Source organism: Homo sapiens, chromosome 1, assembly GCF_000001405.40.
Source record: "Homo sapiens chromosome 1, GRCh38.p14 Primary Assembly".
In the NCBI taxonomy this organism is placed as follows: domain Eukaryota; kingdom Metazoa; phylum Chordata; class Mammalia; order Primates; family Hominidae; genus Homo; species Homo sapiens.
Genome location: NC_000001.11, coordinates 100,264,742 through 100,287,410, shown reverse-complemented (window position 1 = coordinate 100,287,410; position 22,669 = coordinate 100,264,742). Strand labels below are relative to the sequence as shown.

The following is a 22,669-nucleotide window of genomic DNA, read 5'->3' as shown; positions in this document are numbered from 1 at the left end:
TTATAATGGGAATAATAATAAATAGCCACCTACAATAGTTATGCTGAGTAGACAGTTTAGATAAATTGCTAAATTAGCTCAGTGCCTGTCACACAGGAAACAGTGATAGCAATTATGATTACTATTAAGTTTCCTATTAAAATTTAACCCAAAATTGGCTAAAATAAAAATCAAAATATCAATTTCCCTTTCTGATAGAATACTCACCTTTGCTATTTGTTCAGCAAAATGTATCGCGGTTTGCGTATGGAGTGTAACTGGTCCTGTTTTTATTCTGGAAACTCCATTGGCTAATGCCATGAAAACAATCAGCTATTTAAAAAAGAACAAAGAAAAACCTCACACATTTATTAATATTTGGCATTATAATTCCACTGCTGCCCATAATAAAAATACTACTAGAAATAAAAATTGCTAAAACAGAATTTCTATTTCTTTAGGTTTCCAGACATACTCAGAAGATGACAGAAAACCTATGTTACCCTAAGTCTGTGAGTAGTACAAAAAGGCTTGGTAGCAGCTCTCAACATATAATTTTTTAAATTAATATTTACAAGTAAAATACAGAACAGTAATATACTTAGACCAACTATCTCTACAAGTTGGTATATATAATATGATGTTTATTCTACTCTCTTAAATTACATTTTAACAGCTGAATAGACAGACTAATACTGGGACTTTACTGGGAGTTTAAAGTAGACCTGGGCAAGGAGGAGGAGACTAGAAATAACAGAAACTGTCTTAAGAAACAGGTCAAGAAATCTCGAGGACTATATTTCTAAATGTGGACACTACTGATTTGGGACTAAGGAGACAAAAGTATGGTAGAAAGGAAAATCTATAAAGATAACAGACCATAAAAACAATATTTGGAAATATTCAGTATCACTTCTCACTGTGAGTGAACGTGCTAAGTTTTTTTTGTTTTTCGTTTTTTTTTTTTTTTTTTTTTTGAGACGGAGTCTTGCTCTGCCACCCAGGCTGGAGTGCAGTGGCGCATTCTCGGCTCACTGCAAAACTCCGCCTCCCAGGTTCACGCCTTTCTCCTGCCTCAGCCTCCCGAGTAGCTACGACTACAGGCACCCGCCACCACGCCCGGCTAATTTTTTGTATTTTTTCAGTAGAGACGGGGTTTCACCGTGTTAGCCAGGATGGTCTCGATCTCTTGACCTCGTGATCCGCCCACCTCGGCCTCCCAAAGTGCTGGGATTACAGGCTTGAGCCACCGCGCCATGCAACGTGCTAAGTTTGAGAGGTCTGTGACACGTCCAAGTGGAGGTGTTGACAGGCATAGGGGATATTATGAGCAAGGAGTTAAAGAGAAAGGCCTGGGCTTCGGATATAAATTTGGGAGTTGTCAGCATAAAGACGGTACTTAAGCCATGAGACTGGACAAACTAAGAGAGGGAGCAACTACAGAAAAAGAAAACAAGTATAAGCCAAAGTCCAGGGGCTCATCAAAATTTAGAAGTTGGCCAGGCACAGTGGCTCATGGCCCTTAATCTCAAAACTCTGGGAGGCCAAAGTGGGAGGATCACTTGGGTGCCAGAGTTTAGGATTAGCCTGGTCAACATACTGAGACCTCGTCTCTATAAAAATTAAAACAAAAAAAAGTTTTAAATTAGGTAGGCATGACAGCATGTGCCTGTAGGCCTAGCTACTCAGGAAGCTGAAGCAGGAGGATCACTTGAAACCAGGAGTTCGAGACCAGCCTGGGCAACATAGCAAGACTCTGTCTCCACCAAAAAAAAAAAAATTGTTGTTGAGAAGATGAAAACCATAATAAACTAGCAAAGGAGACTAGAATGTATGGCCAGTGAGATAGGAAGATAACAGTATTTCAGAAACCAAGGAAAGAAAATACTTCAAAAAGGAAGGAGTGGTCAATTGCGCAAAACACTGTAGACACGTAAAGTAAAATGAGGGCTGAAATTTGAGGAATGCAAATCCCAGAATATTTTTTTAAATTATTGAAGTAGGACTTGCTAATTAGTGTCTGAAAGTCAATTATTTAAATTGATATTCAATCTACCACATATTCAAATCTAACAGGTTAGAGGGTTTTTAACCTAAATGTGTCATTACCTGGTCTTGCAGATACTCATCCACAGTACCACCATGTCTAAGATTTGCTAATAGCATTTCGGCAGCTTCAATTCCAACTTTGTCTGCATTTACACCTTAAGATAAGCACAACATTAAAACAAAACAAAACAAAACAAAACAAAACTAATTACTAAGAGACAAAAAGTTTGGTATATCCCAATTAGCACTGGTATACAATTTTTAGGCCTCAAAAACCCACTCAATGCACCTTTTAGAATAAGATCTTTAGTTATTTAATATTCTGAGTGTTTGGGATACACAAGTCTTATACCTTTAAATATACTAGTGGAGGAAAATATAGGCTTCATTAGTCCTATTTAAAATGTACTAATTTATAAAGCCAGTTTATAAGTTAAGTTATGACCCTATAATGCTATGCCTCAATTTCAAAAATTAAAACTTGCAGCCAGGCATGGTGGCTCATGCCTGTAATCCCAGGACTTTGAGAAGCTAAGGTGTAAGAATTGCTTGAGGCCAGGAATTCAAGGCTGGCCTGGGCAACATAGCTAGACGCCATCTACCAAACAAACAAATTCCCCTCCCAAATCCTAGAAAAGCATGCGTGTTACAATTAGTCTGCAGGTAATTCCATCAGAATTAAAGAATTTGGCTCAGTGCGGTGGCTCACGCCTGTAATCCCAATGCTTTGGGAGGCTGAGGCGGATGGATCACTTGAGGTCAGGAGTTTGAGGCCAGCCTGGCCAAAATGGCAAAACCCCATCTCTACTAAAAATACAAAATTTAGCTGGGCATGGTGGTGCATGCCTGTAATCCCAGCTGCTCAGGAGGCTGAGGCAAGAGAATCACTTGAACCTGGGAGGTGGAGGTTGCAGTGAGCTGAGATTGTGCCACTGTACTCCATCCTGGGTGACAGAGCAGGACTCTGCCAAAAAAAAAAAAAAAATTAAAGAATTTTTTTAAAGTCAGGAAATTACATTTTATGTAAAAAAAGAGCATATAACATTATCAGATAAAATATTTTAGAGTTTTATTTCCTCTAAGATTTGAACAGGTATTCGCTTATTTTAAATATAAGTCAGAATATTTACCCTCTTGCCCTATTCCCTATCTCTCCATACATATTCCAAATCTTTGGTACAACACTGAATACAAAGTAAGTCTGTCACAAGTAGTAGAATGCCACATTATTATTTTAAGGTATTTACTCTCAACTAAAAAATTCTTGGCTGCAAATGAAAACGTCTTATGAAAAATGAAAATGTGGTTAGTTTTGTTTCTATTTTATATTTGCAAATTTACTTGATTATATATGATAAAATTTTCCCCAAAGTGGAAATTGTAGAATTTTAACTCTATTTTTCTTTGTTTTTCTTGTTTTTTCTTGTTTTTTCTTTTTTTTTTTTTTCTTTTTTTTTTTTAGCGACTAGGTCTCACTACGTTGCCTGGACTGGTCTCAAACTCCTGAACTCAAGTGATCCTCCCGCTTCAGCCTCCCAAAGTGTTAGAATTCCAGGCATGAGCCATCATGCCCAGAAACTCTATTTTTCTTTATAGTAGTCATAATAATATAATAAATTACCCTCTTTATATTATCAATTGGCCAAGTATTTACGTGACTGAATGAAATGGTTTGAAACATGTTTTGTGAATCTTGACTTCTTGTTAGCCACTGCCATTTCCTCTTCTAGAAGATGGAGATGATAATAATTATGCTGCAAAGTTGTTATAGAAATTAGAGATAATATTTATAAAGCATCTATTACCCAGACTAGTACATAAAAAGCTATTAATAATAACACAGGTTGAGTAACCCTTATCTGAAATGCTTGGGACTAGAAGGTTTCAGATTTTGGATTTTTAAAAAATTTTGGAATATTTGAGCCAGGCATGGTGGCTCATGCCTATAATCCCAGCACTTTGGGAGGCCAAGGCGGGCAGATCACTTGAGATGAGGAATTCGAGACCAGACTGGCCAACATGGTGAAATACTAAAAATACAAAAATTAGCCAGGCATGGTTGTGTGCGATTGTAGTTTTAGCTACTCAGGAGGCTGAGGGACAACAATCTCTTGAACTCGGGAGGCGGAGGTTATGGTGAGCTGAGATCGTGCCACTGCACTCCAGCCTGGGTGACACATGAGATTCTGTCTCAAAATTAAAAAAAAAAAAAAAAAAAAAAAGGAATATTTGGATATACATAATGAGATAGCTTGGGGATGCGACCCAAGTCTACACATGAAATTCAGCTAAGCACAGTGGCTCACGCCTGTAATCCCAGCATTTTGGGAGGTGGAGGCAGGCAGATAGCTTGAGTACAGGAGTTCAAGACTAGCCTGGCCAACATGGTGAAACTCTGTCTCTACTAAAATAGCCAGGCATGGTGGCGCACACTAATAATTCCAGCTACTCGGGAGTCTGTGGTGGGAAGCTCTCTAGAGCTCAGGAGGCAGAGGTTGCAGTAAGCCAAGATTGCACCACTCCACTCTAGACTGGGCAAGAGAGTAAGACTCCCATCTCAATAAATAAATAAACAAACCTGAAATTCATTAATGTTCATACATACCTTACACACATAGCTTGAAGGCAACCTTATACAATGTTTTAAATGATTTTGTGCATAAAACAAAGTTTTGTGGCATACTGCCACTTGAAAAGCTTCTGATTTTGGAATATTTCAGATTTTAGATTTTTGGATTAGGAATGCTCAACCTGTAGGAGTATTGCATACCCACTATTTATCTACCATGCTAAGTAATAGAAACCAGATCCTTTGCTAAGGAGGCATTTAAAATACACATATATTAGAAAATTAGAGGATAATTAAGTGCTAACTCTGTGATATAAACTATATACCCGACAGGAGTTCAGAAAAGTAAGAGATTATATAGGTTCTAGAATAATTTGAGGTTTCATAAAGCATGAAGGACTTAAGTGAGTCCTTGAAAAACAGCTAAAATAGGGATGGAGGATGTAAAGGAAAAGGAAAGAACTTCCGGCTTTGTAGTACTAGAAAACAGCAGGTACACTAAAGTTTTCTGCCATGTAGCAAAGAATTCCTCAGAGCCATTCACATTCCTTTCCACCCAGCCACCTTGATAGTAATGGCATGAATGGTTCTACATTACTAACTGCCATTACTAGCAGTCTGTAGCAACTGAACATAATAAGCAAAATATGAGAATCTTGCTTATTAGTATTATACACACCAAAAGCAAAATCTCAATTTCTTCTGAAATCTTAATGCTTTTCTAACTAATTGCCAATCTTCTCACATTTTGGATGTTTTTAAACAAAGGTCTCAAGGACTTGTTTTAGGACATCAGAGAGATGCCATGAGGCCGGCACGGTGGCTCACGCCTGTAATCCCAGCACTTTGGGAGGCAGATTACTTGAGGTCAGGAGTTCGAAACCAGCCTGGCCAACACTGTGAAACCCCGTCTCTACCAAAAATACAAAAATTAGCCGGCATGGTGGCACACACTTGTAATCCCAGCTACTTGGGAGGCTGCGGTGGGAGGATTGCTTGAACACAGGAGGCGGAGGTTGCAGTGAGCCGAGATTGCTCCATTGCACTCTAGCCTGGGCGACAAAGCAAGATTCCGTCTCGAAAAAAAAAAACAAAAACAAAAACAGAGAGATGCCCTGAATTACCACATACACTGAGGGAGGGAAGGAAGGTGCTTGCTATAAGTGAGGCAATTACTATACAAAGGAAATAAAGATTGATTAACCAGAGGCACAATTCATTTCAGCAGATTATTTTGCTCCCATAGTAAAGAATATAACTAACTGTAAGATAAGAGTAATGAAAGATCACACAGATACGCAACAATGGAAAGACAAAACACATTCTGTCTATAATGCAATCACTTAAAGTTGGAAGGGATCCTTAAACATAGATCACAATCACGGTCCAATATCATTTTTCAGATAAGGAAAGCCCAGAGTCACTATGCATGATAATGACAGGACATGGGACTAAAATTTAGGTCTTCTCACTCTCTGTTTAGTGCTCTCTATCATAACACACTGCCTCAGTCTAAAACAGCGAGATTTTCTCAGACAAAACAAAATCTCACCGTTTTAAAATAAAATTGAAGAATGTTATAGTTAGAAGGATTTTGGAGATTCTCCAGGCTAATCTTCTTGCTCAACATATAAGGAAACTAAGATCAAAATGGTTATAGTAACTGAGACAATGATAAAGACATCTCTAGTTACAACTTCCTGCCTCTACCACCTATGGTGGTATTGACAAGCAGCCAATGTTCCTTCTGGTGATAACCCTAAGAAATTAGGATTCAAGGTCTGGTAGTTTTGTTTTATTTTTTTGAGACAGGGTCTTGCTCTATCACCTAGGCTGGAGTGCAGTGGTGTGATCTCAGCTCACTGCAACCTACACCTCCTGGGCTCAAGTGATCCTCCCGCCTCCTGCCTCAGCATTTAGAGTAGCTGGGACTACAAGCACATGCCACCATGCTCAAGTAATTTTTGTATTTTTTGTAGAGACAGGGTTTCGCCATGTTGCCCAGATTGGTCTTGAACACTTGGGTTCAAGTGATCTGCTCACCTTGGCCTCCCAAAGTGCTGGGATTACAGGCATACGCCACCACACCCAGCCCCTAAATCCAGTAATTTTCTAGTTAATTTAAATCAGAAATGAAAGGGGATCTGGATAATAGAGGTCATGACATTCTCTCTGAGATCCTTAATATATAGACAAGCTGGATTGAGAAGACCACAAGTTACTTTTGCATTTGCTAACATCTCATTTGACTGATGTGCATGATAGGAACCAAGGAAGGATACCAGGAGGAGTCAGTCAATCTCAGCAGGCATGTTGCTCTCTCCTCTATTCTCTCCTAACACCCTAAGTCTAAAAATAAGTACTGTGTACTCTACAAGTGTTTTATCCAAAAACTACTTTAAAGTACAAGTTGCTTCATGTGACAAAGTGAGAAAAAAATGCTGACAGAACATTAGAAAATTTTTTTCAGGCCTGGTAAAAAAATTCCATGTATTACTGATAAAGTAATGATCCCTTTACAATCAATCTCAACGCAGCATATCTAAAATTATCATCTACCCTGGCAAACTAACTCTACCCCGTATATTCACAAGAGGTAAATATATCCAGTTACCTAAGCCAGACATCTAGAAGGTCATACTTTACACTGCCTTCCTCACTTCCCATACCCAACTGGCCAGCAAATATTGTCCATTCACCTTTGCAAATACCCTTTTATCAGTATTCACCTCTCTAGCCCAGCATTCCTTGGCACAGGCCCTTACCATTCTGACCTGAATTGTAATGAACTCTTATCTTCCTGCCTCTAATATGGCTTTCTTCTACTTCTCTGAATTATCTTTCAAAAACTCTCATATCACATCCCTCATTAAATGCTCTATATTTCAGGATGAAATGTAAATTCCTAGATATAACCTATAGCCTTTCAGAATCTGGCCTGTCGATATTTCTGTTGTCATCTCTCTCCATTCCCTTACCCAGATCTATTATCCACTTGCAGTTGCTTGCTCAAACACAGAACACTATTTTTTTGGTGACAGGGTCTCACTGTGTCACCCAGACTGGAATGCAGTGGTGCAATCATAGCTCATTGCAGCCTTGAACATCTTAGGATCAAGCAATCCTCCCGCTTCAGCCTCCTGAGCAGCTGGGACTATAGGTGTGAGCCACCATATGGGGCTACTTAAAAAAAAAAAAATTTTAAGAGATGGAATCTTGCCATGTTGGCCAGGCTGTTGTCAAACTCCTGGCTCAAGCAATCATCCTGCTTCAGCCTCCCGAGTAGCTTGGACTAAAGCTGCATGCCACCTCACCCAGAATACTTTTGTATGTCAAATTTCTTTGTCCTTCCTCCTTAGCTCTCACTTTTCTATCCAGCTAACTTCTATTTACCCACAGAACCCACTGGAGGACCATTAAATGGCAGAAGGCAGATTTGGTGTCAATCAGTCCCCAGAAGGATTCCCTTTGCTTCCCCTGTATTCCTATGGTACCCTGGGGATACCACTATCATAGAACTGGTCTGTTTCCTCTGCCAGAATAACCCAGGAGGCAGGAATCATAGCTGTCACTTTTGAATCCCTAGTACACAGTACCTGGCACATTTGGTAACCAGTAATACAAACAAACTCACACTTCTCCCAATGCCTGCTAAGTACTTATTACTTGTAATATGTCTGCTCCTAGTCTCCGTTTTATATTTGTATTCTCTTTGCTTCTAAAGACTGTTGTAGATAGTGCATGCAGTGGCTCAATATCCACACTGATTCCTCACTGCACCTAATATGTAATTAGTATATGCCAAATACATATTTTAGATCACTATTTCTCAAACTTCAGTATACATTAAAAGTACCTGGAAAGTTTGTTAAAATGGATTCCTGGGCCCCACTCCCACAGATTCTAATTCAATACGTCTGAGGTAGGTCCCAAAATCTGTATTTCTAACGAACTCCCAGTTGATGCTGACAAGTTTGCCTGTCTGCCAACCACATTTTGAATAGCACAGTTTTAGACAGAATTCATTTATGTGAGTTCAACTGGAAATGGTGATTTTATTTATTCTCTTGATCAGATTTGATGCCCAACTAGTTCTAGATTTACCAACTGAGCAAACTGAAGAATTCCTAATTTTTTTTGTATTCAGTAGTAATAGTGTGGCTTAACAGCATAGCTAGGGTAAACATTTTTATTTGTTTATTTATTTTGCAAAGACAAAGTCTCACTACATTGCCCAGGATAGTCTTGAACTTCTGGTCTCAGTAATCCTCCCACCTCAGCCTCCCAAAGTGCTAGGATTACAGTTGTGTACCACTGTGCCCAGCTTGGTAAGCATTTTTAAAGATGCTACAAAGTAGGAATAAAGCAATCAATGACCACGCAAACAACTAGAAGTTCACCTAAAAGTTGCCTGATTGGTAAAAGTAACTTTAAATATTAACAAACACATGCATGTATGTATCTTCTCTCTCTAATATACCAAACCTTAAACAAATTTCCCTTTCACAAAAACATTCAAAATTCTGAAATCACCAATGTAATAACTGATGCAGAGAAGAATCATCAATAGATGTTAAAACCACTGGATGAAAGCTGTTATGGGTGCAGGATAACCAGATGGCCTCAAAATATTTTCTTGGATCACTAGTTAATTACAAAGGTAAAAGGAACTTTCATGGCAGACAGATCTGCAGGACACACCTCCTTAACCAAGTGATCACACTCAACCTCACCAATAAAGGAGAAACTAACATCATGTGCCCCCTGCCGTGATACAGTGGAATGTACACAAAATCACCTATGTAGTATTCTTAATAAAAATGTTTAATCTGAATATATCATGAGACAATCAGACAAATTTAAATTGTGGGAAACTCTGTGAGAAAATGGCCTGGACTCTTAAAAATGTCAGTATCATGAAATGAACAACAACAAAAAAGGTAATGGGAGGATTGTGTATTAAAAGAGGGACTAAAGAGACTTGAGAAACAAATGCTATGTGCCCCCCCCCAAAAAAAAAAATTCCACATCGCTCTAAATAATATTTTGGAAACAATTCATTATGTATGAAGCTATCTGGTGTGTCAGAATAAAACAAATTCTTCAGGTGTAAAAATGGTATTATAATTATGTAGTTATTGCTCTTTGGACATATATGCTGCAGTATTCAGGGGTGAGACATGGCACCTGCAACTTATATTGAAATGGCTCAGAAATATACACAACAAACTAAATGTTCATAACTAGTGAATCTAAGAGAAGGTTGTATGGATGACTAGTTGAACTAGTCATTCAACTTTTCCATAGGTTTGAAATTTTCCAAAGTATAAAGGTGGGAGAAAGACTGAAAGTCTGAAAGTGTAATTGACTCTAAAAGAGAATCAATTAACTACATCCTTTTAAACTTTCATCCATCATTCTATAACATTCCAATCCTGATGGATTAAAGAATTCTGCAGTAGCATTGGGAACTATGGACCCCCTTCATTTATCTTACCTCGTTTACCAAGCGATGATCCAGCAAACAAACAGCCAGTGGAGGTCTCAGCAATAATTCTATGCAAGAAAAAAAGTTATTACTACCTTTGCTATAAATGTTCCAAATTTATGCAAATACAACAAAAGAGAACAATGACTATTAAATAGGCAGAACTAAATCTGGGCAACAAATTGCAAAAGTAAAAATTCTTCATATAGAGTGGTATGATTAACATTGTCTATCTTAATCAGACCAGTAGTATCCTTTACCACTTGACCAGGAGAAGTCACACCAGATTCTAATTCACAGGTTAAGAAATGTCTACCATGCCCCCCAACAAGTTAACATGTCATTAGCACTAAGTGGTACCATTTCACAGGCACACAGTACTATAAAGTGTTTCAGAATTATCTTAAATAAAAAGGTCGTTATGCAGAGACTTTGGTATTGTTCTACGGTTTTTAGATAGTGTTATCATAAGTAGAGCAAGCGTTTACTTTAAACCTTTTAATGGAAATTCTGAATGAGAGGATTTGGAACTTAAATATCCAAAAATGGTACTTTTATACTTCAAAAACATCAGTTAAAGAATTTGTACTAATACTTAAATCTATAACTCCTAACTGAATTAACATAATAGTTCTAGTCTGGTTTTTTTTGAGATGGAGTCTCGCTTTGTCGCCAGGCTGGAGTGCAGTGGTGTGATCTCAGCTCACTGCAACATCCGCCTCCCAGGTTCAAGTGATTCTCCTGCCTCAGCCTCCCAAGTAGCTGGGACTACAGGTGTGCACCACCACGCCCAGCTAATTTTTGTATTTTTAGTAGAGACAGGGTTTCACCATGTTGGCCAGGATGATCTTGATCTCTTGACCTTGTGATCTGCCCGCCTCAGCCTCCCAAAGTGCTGGGATTACAGGTGTAAGCCACCGCGCCTGGCCTCTAGTCTGGTTTTAAAAAGCTCTTTGCTATATTTATTTGTGAACTGATTTCACATTTGACGTATTTTATGCAACTGGAAATATTCTCATAGGACTAGCTTTAAAGCCTAACTTCTGATTAAACGTTTAAGTTCACTATATAAGGGAAAGGGATCTTACAAGGTAACAAAAGGCAAGCCATCCTCAGAAAAAATTCAGAATAATTGTCTTAATTTATCATACTGGTGTTTTAGGTAGGAATGTCCTTAAAAATATAAACTGAGGCTGGGCACAGTGGCTCATGCCTGTAATCCCAGCACTTTGGGAGGCCAAGGCAGGTGGATCATGAGGTCAGGAGATCAAGACCACCCTGGCTAACACGGTGAAACCCTGTCTCTACTAAAAATACAAAAAATTAGCTGGGCGTGGTGGTGGGCGCCTGTAGTCCCAGCTACTCAGGAGGCTCAGGCAGAAGAATGGCATGAACCCAGGAGGCGGAGCTTGCAGTGAGCCAAGATCACACCACGGCACTCCAGCCTGGACAACAGAGCGAGACTCCACCTCAATAAATAAATAAATAAATAAATACTTCTTAAAACTATAAACTTAAGCAAGAAACCCTAAAAATCTTTAATTTAATTAGATAACTATTTTAGGGTTCTCAACTAATGTGTAGGAAAAAGTATTGTCTCACATTATTCCATTTCCATTGCCAAATGCTTGGTCTTTAGGTTCTTGAACAGGCTGGATGTTAACATACAAATCCCGGATCTCCTTTCTGATGCATCTAACTGCTGCCGCTGCCATATCTTTTGCTACCTATTTTAGCAAGACAGAAAAATAGAATAAAACAATTACTGATTATTTGGAAAATTGTTTTCAAGACTTCAAAGACACATAAAATAATTGGTAGCTTTTACATGCATTATTTAATAACTTGATTTTCAAGAGAGCACTGAATTTTTAAATATGCTTATGCAAATTAATTTTATTTTTGTTAATTAATGTATCCATTAATACATATATTTCATCTTTTATTTTAGGTTCAGGAGGTACATGTGCAGGTTTGTTACATGGGTAAATTACATGTCGCTGAGATCTGGTATATGAATGATCCCATCACCTAGGTAGTGAACACAGTACCTGATAGTGTTTCAACCCTCAGCCCCCTTCCACCCTCCTCCCATTAGCAGTCCCCAGTGTTCCCATCTTTATGTCCATGTGTATTCAATGCGTAGCTTCCACTTATGAGAACATGTGGTATTTGGTTTTCTGTTCCCACATTAATTTGCTTAGGATAATGGCCTCCAGCTGCAGCCATATTGCCACAAAGGACATTATTTCTTTCCTTAAAAAAATGTTAAGTTCTCTCAATAATTTCAAAATTTAGTTGACATAATATTTATCAAGACACACATATATTTTATTTCTAAGAACATCTAAACAACTTACTTTAAATGGCAAAACACCAGCAACGAAAGCTCTTCCATATATCTTAGTCACACAGCCACGCTCAGTTAAATTTATAGGGTTCAATTGTTTAACTGGTGACATTCGAACAATCACTTCACCACCCCCTTTTGGGTAATATCCCCTATGAAAAGTATAACAAATGCCCACATAAACTGATTGCATGACAAAAACAAAGCTCTATATTACAATAAAATGACATGTCAATGATATCCAAACATGTAATCCATGGAAAGGTCTAAATATTTTAGGTCTGTATTTTGTAAAATTTTATACATTAAAAAACAAAATTTTGTCTGTACTATACAATGTGGTAGCCTTGAGATATGTGAAACTATTAAAATTAAATAAAATTTAAAAATCAGCTCCCCAGCTGCACTAGCCACATTTTAAGTGCTCAATAGTCACATTTGGCTAGTGACTACCATATTGGACAGCATAGATATGGAACATATACCCCAATGCAGAAAGTTCTATTTGACAGGGCTATTGTAGAATATAAGCGCCTTGAGGGCTAGACTTACCTATATTGTTCCTGCTATTTTCCTGTGCCTAAAACAATGTCTGGCACATGGTAGGTCCTCAAATAAATATATGATGAATATTTAAGTAGCAAAACACTTAAAAAGTTTTAATTCAATTAATTGGTGTCATTTATTTTACAGCAGACGGTGAGAAGACAGTACTCCTCCCCTCAAAGAGCTCACCATCTGGTAGGGAGATGGCTCCACACACTGTCTACTAGAATACAGGTCAGGCTATAAGAAAGGCTACAACATAGGTGCAAATATGAATTCTGATTGAGGCACAATCACAGTTCATAAAGAATTATAAGTTTCACGTTGAAAAAAACATAGGATTTCTAACTTTTGGGAGAGCAGGGGAAGAATAACATGAACAAAGACACAAAAGTCCAAAGGCACAAAGCATATTTAAGGAATAACAAGCAAACATATTGTTAGAATACATAACACGTTGAAAGGAGGAGAGGGACGAAGAAGTTAGAAAAGTTAGGGCAAGACTTCAAAGCACTTAAATGCCACACCAAGAAATATGGCCTAGTGATTGTGTGGCAGAAGGGAAGCCTTAAAGAGAAATAACCTGAATGCCCAATGTGTTTCTTAGGAAAACAATTCTGATCACATTGTGGAAGAGAATTCCTTTTATGACCCCTTAGTGTCTAGTCCAGTTGTCTACACACAGTGAGCACTTAAGCTGTGCTGGGGCATGAAATATCACTAGATATGAGGGTACCTCACTGTGAAAATTCCCTTGAAAATATTTTCCCTAGAAATAAATAACCATGATGTGTAGCTGCTCTCGAGTCCCCATGCTCCTGCTATTCATTATTTTTAAGCCACAAAGTACAATTACTTCTTACAAGAGATGCAATGTATTAAGTGGGTACCAGAAAGACAGTTCTCTAAGGGTCTAACTTTTCCACTACTTCTAGCGTAAGTAATAGATCCTAACATTTAAGAAACAAGCAACTTACCTTGTTTTAATGTCACAATTAAATATGAAACCAAATTTTTCAACAATTGGCTTGAAGACCTGAAAAAATCAGTTTTTATCATTAGGTTAATCAGCAATATTCACTAATTTAACAAGTGTATTTATTAAACAAAAGCGCTTTGCTGGCTAGTAACTGGGTGCTATAGGTAAACAGTGTTATAAGAATATGTAGGCTGGTTCCATTTTTTTCAAATAAAAAAACTGATATGTAGCTAAATTTAAAAGTTTGACATTTATTTAATCAGAGCTGTGCAAGTCTATCTAACGAAAAAAATTGGAACTTAGGATATTTGATATCAGTGGTTATTCTACTCCGAAGGCCAATACTTCCTCACGCATCTCAATATAGTACATTTAAGAAATGAGGGGGTATTGGTGAAGAGCATTCCATTCTGTCATCTCAATTTTTTGTACAGTTGAAATCTCATTCCACAGACAATGCTTTAACATTATAAACATAAGCATTTTCCTGACATCATAAAATTATTCCTAAACAAAATCTGAATGACTCCATGGCATCCTAGCCTAATTGACTTAACGGTTCTCCAAGTTTTCATTATTAGATAATGATATATCTTATATAATGATAATTACAGTATATAATGCTCTGTTCAAATACCTTTAACATTTATCTTTAGCTGAACTTTGCAATATTGAATTAGAGGAGTTTCCTTGAAGTCAAATTATTAGGTGAGGAGAGATTAATTTTTATTATACATCCCATCGAACTGACTTTGAAAAGATTATACCATCTATTAGAATGGCAATATTTCAGAGAAAGATGGTGTTTAAGCCTGATGTCTAAGGCAACTCTTTGAGATCTACTCTAGAGATTTACTTATTTCTCTGGGTTGTCTCCTATGTATCCAGGAGGTATACAGGTTATTAACCTTGTTTTGTGTTTTTTTTTAAAGGCAGAAAAAGCTTAACAAATAAAAACCTGAAAATATCAAGTGCTAGGATGGATACAGAACAGCTGGAACCCTCTATTTGATATTTATTTTTATTTTAGAGATGGGGTCTCGCTATGTTACCCAGGCTAGACTCCAGCTTAAGCTCAAGAGATCCTCCCACCTCACCCTACCAAGTATTAAATAGCTGGGACTATAGGCACACACCACTGTGCCCACTTCAGCTGGAACTCTCATATAGTACTGGTAATAATGCAAAATGTAGCCACTTTGGAAGCTAAAATAACCTGGCTATGTATTATAAAGTTAGACATTTGCTTATTATAACAACCCAGCAAGTATTTTCCCAAGAGAAATGAAAATGTACAATCACACAAAAACTTGTATATGAATGTTAACAGTAACTTAATTTATAATTGCCAAAATCTGGAAACACCCAAATGCCCTTCAATAGATGAATGGATATGCAAACTGGTACATCCATATACGAGAACACAACTCAAGTTTTCATTGCAGATACAAGCAACATGGATGAATCTCAAATGTATTATGGAGAGCAAAAAACCCAGACTCAAAGCCTACGTACAGTATTATCCCTTATATGACATTCTGAACAAAAGGCAAAACTATGACAGAAAACAGATCAGCAGTTGCCAGGGGCTGAGGCTCAGGACTGATTACAAAAACGTATAAGGGAATTTTTTAGAGTAACGGAACTATTCTATGTCTTGATTGTGGTAGATGGTTCATAACTGTGAATCATGTCACTGTCAAAAATCACAGAACTGCATGTTAAAAAGGGTGGATTCAATTGAAAAAATTACACTTTAATAAATCTAGAAGAAAAAAGATTATACCACTTTTCTCTCCCACTAGTTATATGAGCATGCCAGTATTTTTTAAATCATTTTTTAAATGTTTGATCCTAGAATGGAAGGGGCTTAATAGAAAAAAAAAGTTTGAGTTTCCCTCCAAATCATAATCCTTGTATTTATAAAATAACACATCACAACTGATATAATTTATATCACACTCGAGGTGTTTTTTGTTTTTTTAAAGACAGCATCTTGCTTTATCACCCAGGATGGAGTGCCAACATAGCTCACTGCAAACTCAACCTCCCAGGCTCAAGTGATCCTCCCACCTCAGCCTCCTGAGTAGCTTGGACAGGTGTGCACCACCATGCCTGGCTAATTTTTCTGTGTGTAGTGTTTTTTGTTTTTTATTTATATTATTTTTTTGTAGAGATGGGATTTCACCATGTTGCCCAGGCTGGTCTTGAACTTCTAAGCTCAAGTGATCTGCCTACCTCAGCCTCCCAGAGTGCTAGGATTACAGGTGTGAGCCACCACACCGGGCCCTACACTTGAGTTTTTTTTTTTAATTCACTATAAACACTATTCCAAGATATAACAACAAACTTAAAGTAAACATAATTCCCCACCCCCTACTGCAATAGACACATTTGGGAGGCTGAGGTGGGAGGATCCTTAGAGCTCAGGAGTTCAAGACCAGCCTAGGCAACATAGTGAGGCATCGACTCTACAAAAAATTTAAAAAAATTGGCTGGGTGTGTGCCTGTAGTCCCAGCTACTCAGGAGGCCAAGACAGGAGGATTGCTTGAGCTCAGGAGGTTGAGTATGCAGTGAGCTGTGATATGCAACTGTACTCCAGCCTTGGCAACAGCACTGTCTCAAAAAAAAAAAGAAAGAAAGAAAGAAAAGACACCATGAAGAGATAAACAAGAAAGTCACAAAAAAACACTCAGGATATATTTAGAGAATGGAGACTCAGAAGCATGTATGAGATCATCTTAGTTTGTCAACAACAAAAGCCCTTACCATCACTGTATAATCGATCTGTGGTGCCATTTCAGCATTAGTTCCACCTTTCAAATGAAGTTCTGATGGAGAAGCAGCAAAGAGAACACACGGCATTGAGACCTGCATCAAGAGGCACACACTCCTAAGGAGAAGGCAGAAGGGGCTTATTTTCATTTTCTTTTCTGCATTTTCTTTTCAAACTCTTAAATAAGCTATATTCTTGTTCATCACTACCAACTAAAGCACAGACAACTGTGAAGGCAGGTATATGCCATTGAGTTTCTAGTTAAAAAACATTTTAGTGTCTGAATAGTAAAATCCTGAATTTTAAAGAAAAACAGTATTTCACCATAGAAAAATAGCTTTAAATGATAACCAAACCTGGGTCTGAATCTTCAACTAAACACATTAGCTGTGTGACCTTGGCTAAGTTCTGATACTTTTCTTTATATTACAAAAAAGTAAAAAAGAAAAAAAATTAAAAATAAAACCTTCTTCAAAAGTTTTACAAAAGAATTCTTGAAACTAGCAGTTTATGAAAATGCTTTCAAAATAGACAAGGTCTGGATATGATTAGTTACTATATAACAAGGTACTGTTCCAGGTATAAAGATATAGTTCCTGTCATTGTGGAGTTCATGATATGATAGAATAATATTTTACGCAGCCATAAAAGAGAATGAGTTCATGTCCTTTGCAGGGACATGGATGAAGCTGGAAACCATCATTCTCAGTAAACTAACATAGGAACAGAAAAGCAAACGCTGCATGTTCTCACTCATAAGTGGCAGTTGAACAATGAGAACACATGGGCACAGGGAGGGGAACATCACACACCAGGGCTTGTCGGGGGGCAGGTGGCAAGGGGAGGGAGAGCACTAGGACAAATACCTAATGCATGCAGGGCTTAAAACCTAGATGACCAGTTGATGGGTGCAGCAAACCACTATGGCACATGTGTACATATGTGACAAACCTGCACATTCTGCACATGTATCCAGAACTTAAAGTATAATAAAATATTTTAATAATTATTAATTTTAATAATAACAAACACTCACAGCTTGGCCGGGCGTGGTGGCTCATGCCTGTATCCCAGCACTTTGGGAGACAGAGGTGGGATGATCACTCGAGCCCAGGAGTTCAAAACCAATCTGGGCAACATAGTGAGACTCCATCTTTACAAAAAATTTAAAAATTAACCAGGCATTGTGGTGCACGCCTGTAGTCTCAGCACTTTAGGAGAATCGCCTGAGCCCAAGAGGTCAAGGCTACAGTGAGCCATGATCATGCCACTGCACTCCAGCCTGGGAGACCAAAAAAAAAAAAAAAAAAGACTGATAGCTAAATATTTCACATGGGAAGTTTTAGTGAAGTAATCCTTGCTTTACTTGCCTGTTTGGTCCTTATAGTCAAATAATGTGAGAAATCACAAGAAATAGTTATGTAACATGATGAATTTCATAAAGTGAAACACTTGGTCATTATCTTTTCTTTTTTTGAGACAGGGGCTCCTTCCATCACCCAGGCTGGAGTGCAGCGGCACAATCTCAGTTCACTGCACCTTCCACCTCCAAGGCTCAAGCCTCAGCTTCTCAAGTAGATGGGACTACCGGCATGTACCACCATGCCCAGCTAATTTTTATTTATATATATAAATATATAAATATATATATATGACGGGGTTTTGCCATGTTGCCCAGGCTGGTCTCAAATTTGTGAGCTCAAGCGATCCACCCACCTCGGCCTCCCAAAGTGCTGGGACTACAGGCGTGAGCCACCGCACCTGGCCTGGTTGTTTTCTAAATGAGCCATTATCTCCCTTCTCCAAAGTTAAGTGAAAGCAATCATATTCATAAGTAGTTTGAAAGGGAATTCGACATAGCCTCTTAGCTATCAAAAGACAGATCTTTATTTAACTCACTTACACAATGATGCTTAAGTATTGAACTGGGAAGTCTCTATCAGTAATAATGAATTTCATTAATTCAATGAATATTTATTGGACAGGTGTGGTGGCTCACACTTATAATCCCAAAACTTTGGGAGGCCAACGTGGGTGGATTGCTTGAGCTTAGGAATTCGAGACCAGCTGAAAAACATGGCGAAACCTTGTCTCTTTAAAAAATACAAAAATTAGCGGGGCATGGTGCTGTGTGCCTATGGTCCCAGCCACGCAGGAGGCTGAGGTGGGAGGACCTGTTGGGCCCAGGAGTTACAGCTTACAGTGAGCAGTGATTGCACCACTGCACCCCCGCCTGGGCAAGAGGGATACCTTGTCTCAAAAAAAAAAAACATAAAAGTAGGGAAACAAGCTCATAGACATTAAGCAACTTGCCCAGAAAGTGGCAAAACCTGGACTTAAACCCAGGTTACTTAAATGGAATGTTAAGTGATACATACCCTGCTGTCTTGGTATCTGCTGTGTGGATTCCACCTTTGATCTTCTCTGGTGTAAAGGTTATTTCTGTTGAGCCAATTTCTGCCCCCTCCAGTTGCCCATCACACAAATCTCGAATCATTTCCAGTCCAGATAAATGTTGAGGCCTTCAGGTCATAATACTGCATCAAAACGTGTGCATTCAGACTGCCTACATCCCCACATTTTATGACAAATTTATAAAACTGCAATGGCAAGAAAACAGCAAGGTCTAACCACAGTAAGTGCCACATCTTCAGTGTCAGCTTCCTTTTGGGTTTTTATGCACCTAGACTACCTGCTAGTATGTATCATTTTAACACTTCCTTGCAGACCAGTTATTTCTGACTATAAATACATACCCTGATATATTGCTGCAAATTAGAAGTGTGCTAAAGAAGAAAACTAATAGTTATTTCAGTGCCACCAGTCTCGCTTGCACTTGACTGAACAATCTATGGTGCCTGTATGGGCTGAACTATGTTCCCCCTAAATTAATATGCTGAGACTGTAACCCTCCGTATCTCAGAATGTGACTATATTTGGAGATAGAGCCTTTAAAGAGATAATTAAGTTAAAATAAGGCCACCATACAATCTTACTGGTGTCCTTATAAAAAAAAAAAAAACTAGAACATACAGAGACGCTAGGGGCAAGGTACACAGAGGAACCACCATGTGAAGAGGCAAAAAGACAGGCCTGGAGCAGATCCTTTTCTCATGGCTCTCAGAGGAAACCAACCTTGTCAGGACCTTGATCTTGGACTTCCAGCCTCCAGAACTGTGAGGAAATAAATTTCTGTTGTTTAAGCTCCACTCTGTGTGTGGCATTTTGTTATGGCAGCCCTAGCAAACTAATACAACACCTACAGCCTAATGAATTGGATTCCCCTGTTGGTGAACTGGAGGGCTGCAAACTATGACAAAGGCAATTAACATTAACATATCAGTAATTGCCTTTTGGTAATTTCAAAACTGTAGACAAAAGACTGAGACCGCTGATTTATTAAAATGTAATAAATACAGAATACATACAAAGCAATCAGTGTGGCTTCAAACCTGGGTCCTCTTCTAGCAGGTGCATGTACCTGAAGCTCAACTAGTGGCATGCCCAGCTACCCAGACAGAAGAAATAAGGTCAAATGTCAAGGTGTTTCCCTCTCCACAACAGATAATTCTGGTCATAACAGCTCTCTGGAGGTATGAATGAAGGCTGGGATAACACATCTCAGGATTCTTTCCTGTTTTATGATTCTAAAACTGACAGCAGAACCAGAATGCACTGGTTATAAAACAGGGTTTCCTCTGGCGTCACAAGCATTTCTGCCCTATCTATCTTGCCAGCTCATACGTGCTGTTCGGATATTTGGAATGCCCGGTGAGGTGAGAAAACATTTTAAAAGCTAGCTCTTCAGCAAATGACACTATTTAGTCAAACAGAGAAAACTCGAGACCATTTCTAAACTCACCCCTCCAGGCTTTCAAGACTTTACAACCCAGGCCACCGCCCAGGCAGAGTGCCCCGCCCTGGATCGCCCATACCTGCGTCTGGGACCTTCTGGGTTCCACCACTCGGACTCCCGATGCCCCAGCCCGGCAGCCCGACCCCCCGATCCCCCAGCTTCACGGCCCAACTCCCCCTCCAGCCAGATTTACCTCAGGCCTGGCGTGCTCCGGCCGGCTCGGATCTTCTGCACCCGCAAGGGGAGGCCTAGGAGACAGCTCAAGGCCGTAGAGACTCTCAGGATCTGGCCGCCCTGCAAAGGTTGGGGTACAGGGAGAAGAGAAGTAAGCACACCGGTGGTGAGAGCTCCCCTCCTTAGTTAGGCTGCAGCCCCGGCCGCTTCGCTCTGTACTCACCCCTTCCATGATGCTGCCATCGACCTCCACCCGCGGCCCCGCCATGGGGGACACCCTGGGGCCCAGCCCGCAGCGACAAAGCCTCCGCCAGAGCGGGAGAAAGAAGAGACGTTGGCTCCCGCCCAGTAGTTCAGAAACCTTGGTTCATGCCTGGGGCGCAGGAGCCTGACGAGAAAGCGGAAGAAGCGGCGCCTCTCGGGACACTGGAGTCAGCAGAAACGAACCCCCGGGTTCGCCCAGTTCCGCAGTCAGTGCGCATGCGCGTAGCTCGGCTTAAAGGAGCCGCGCTGGGAACACTGCGGTCGGGGCGAGGAAGCTGCCGGGGAAGTGAGATGACGGTCGCGGGGGTGCCCAGGAGCCCTGAAAAACTTGTGCCCTGGGCACGGCAAAATCTGCAGGTTGCAGAAAGTCTCAACTGTAAGATAACTCCTCCAGTTATCCCGCAGGCTTGTGCTTTATCTCTGTTTTGTGGGTAAATATGTGTTTATATCTGTTTTCTCGAGGATCCTGGCATACCCCGAGGTGCCGACTTTTAGAGCTGAAGATGCAAGAAAGATTGGGATCCTGCGATGCACCGAACCTGTCTCTCGAAGTGTGTGCGCCCTGGTACATTGATACTCTTGGCCTTTGGTTCCTTGCGGTGTGCGTGTTTGTGTATGCGGAGTGTGTTATCTTTCTTTCTAGGGTGACACACCATTTATTTGAGAGGCGGGAAAGGCAGAATCACTAGTTTAATATTCTGAAAAGCCAAAGTTATGCCATTTTGCTTGAGAGTGAGTGCAAGCTCTTGACTCCCAGGAACAGTGCAGCTAACAATTCACCTCAGGCGAGGGCAGAAGCAATAGCCAGCTTCTTGGTTCTGCCTGTGGCTCAGTTCCTACATAATTGAGTACCAAATAATATGTAAACCTCTAGGGAAGCAAAAAAGAGTAATTCAGCTTCTACCCCCGAAGTTATTGGAGGTATAATGGAGAGACTGAGACGTAATCAATTACAATGTCATCCTCAATAATAATTAACATGTACTGTATTTAGAGTTTATTATGGGGACAATTACAATATATTAATAATATACTGTAACAATAACAGGCAACACTTATTGAGCACTTAGGTGTTGTGCACTGCATGCATTCATAACATGATAAAGTACTTACTGTTTTTACTGTTTTACAGCTTCCTGTGTTAAACAATTTGCTACAAGGTCACACAATTTTAACTAGAAGACTGAGATGTGAACCTGGGTGGTCTGATGTGAACACCACTGTCTGGTAATCCCAACGCTCTGCTGCTTTGCGACAGAGAATGTTTTAGGGAACACACAGACTATGTACTTAACCAAATCTGGAATTTGCCGTAAGATATTAATCAGAGAAGTAATGATACTTGCATTTTAAAATGAAGGCTTTGGCAGTAGGAGAAGGGTGAATAAGAGGCTTAAGAGCCTGAAGGGAGAAATGCCAATGATACAATTATCCAGCAAGAAATAATCAGAAGTTGAAGTAAGGCAATGATGGTAGGGATGGAATATAAAAAAGCTGTACCCCTATCTGACATCTTTATTGGGGGAACCCGCCCCCAATATTTCAACGTAGGTTCTTTCTATTTTCCATAAGTGTTGGCCAGCTGAGAAATAAAGAGAGACAGTATAAAGAGAGGAATTTTACAGCTGAGCCACCGGG

At 39.4% G+C, this 22,669-nt stretch overlaps 1 protein-coding gene, 1 long non-coding RNA gene and 1 other non-coding gene across 5 annotated transcripts in view, besides 2 other annotated features; 1 reads left to right on the top strand and 2 right to left on the bottom strand.

The window, feature by feature from the left end:
- RTCA (RNA 3'-terminal phosphate cyclase) overlaps window positions 1-21,195 on the bottom strand; it is a 26,554-nt gene extending 5,359 nt beyond the window's left edge. The window contains exons 1-11 of one of the 2 annotated variants that reach the window (NM_001130841.2): window positions 20,991-21,195; window positions 20,787-20,887; window positions 19,873-19,911; window positions 19,116-19,259; window positions 16,731-16,854; window positions 13,959-14,017; window positions 12,446-12,587; window positions 11,688-11,812; window positions 10,095-10,153; window positions 2,089-2,183; window positions 208-312 (exon numbers count right to left, since the gene is read on the bottom strand). In NM_001130841.2, the coding sequence (NP_001124313.1) occupies window positions 208-312; window positions 2,089-2,183; window positions 10,095-10,153; window positions 11,688-11,812; window positions 12,446-12,587; window positions 13,959-14,017; window positions 16,731-16,854; window positions 19,116-19,259; window positions 19,873-19,911; window positions 20,787-20,887; window positions 20,991-21,035 (1,038 nt within the window). In that variant the 5' untranslated portion in view covers window positions 21,036-21,195. The remainder of the gene's footprint in view (window positions 1-207; window positions 313-2,088; window positions 2,184-10,094; window positions 10,154-11,687; window positions 11,813-12,445; window positions 12,588-13,958; window positions 14,018-16,730; window positions 16,855-19,115; window positions 19,260-19,872; window positions 19,912-20,786; window positions 20,888-20,990) is intronic. The other variant, NM_003729.4, reaches the window with a different exon arrangement.
- On the bottom strand, window positions 6,103-6,170 carry MIR553 (microRNA 553). Its single transcript, NR_030279.1, has one exon. It is a non-coding gene; the product is annotated as a microRNA 553 (primary transcript).
- Window positions 20,955-21,504: an enhancer, noted in NCBI's record as "H3K27ac hESC enhancer chr1:100731463-100732012 (GRCh37/hg19 assembly coordinates)". NCBI's record gives its function as "activates a minimal SCP1, AML or CMV promoter by ChIP-STARR-seq in naive H9 embryonic stem cells {active_cell/tissue: H9 hESC(naive)}" and the evidence as "EXISTENCE:reporter gene assay evidence [ECO:0000049][PMID:30033119]".
- Window positions 21,027-21,386: an enhancer, noted in NCBI's record as "active region_1378". NCBI's record gives its function as "activates an Ori minimal core promoter by ATAC-STARR-seq in GM12878 lymphoblastoid cells {active_cell/tissue: GM12878}" and the evidence as "EXISTENCE:reporter gene assay evidence [ECO:0000049][PMID:35858748]".
- Window positions 21,237-22,669, top strand: RTCA-AS1 (RTCA antisense RNA 1). Of its 2 annotated transcripts, none has more exons than NR_110435.1 (3): window positions 21,237-21,407; window positions 21,494-21,582; window positions 22,164-22,669. It is a non-coding gene; the product is annotated as an RTCA antisense RNA 1 (long non-coding RNA). The 2 variants fall into 2 exon arrangements; NR_110434.1 differs by having other exon boundaries at window positions 21,494-21,596.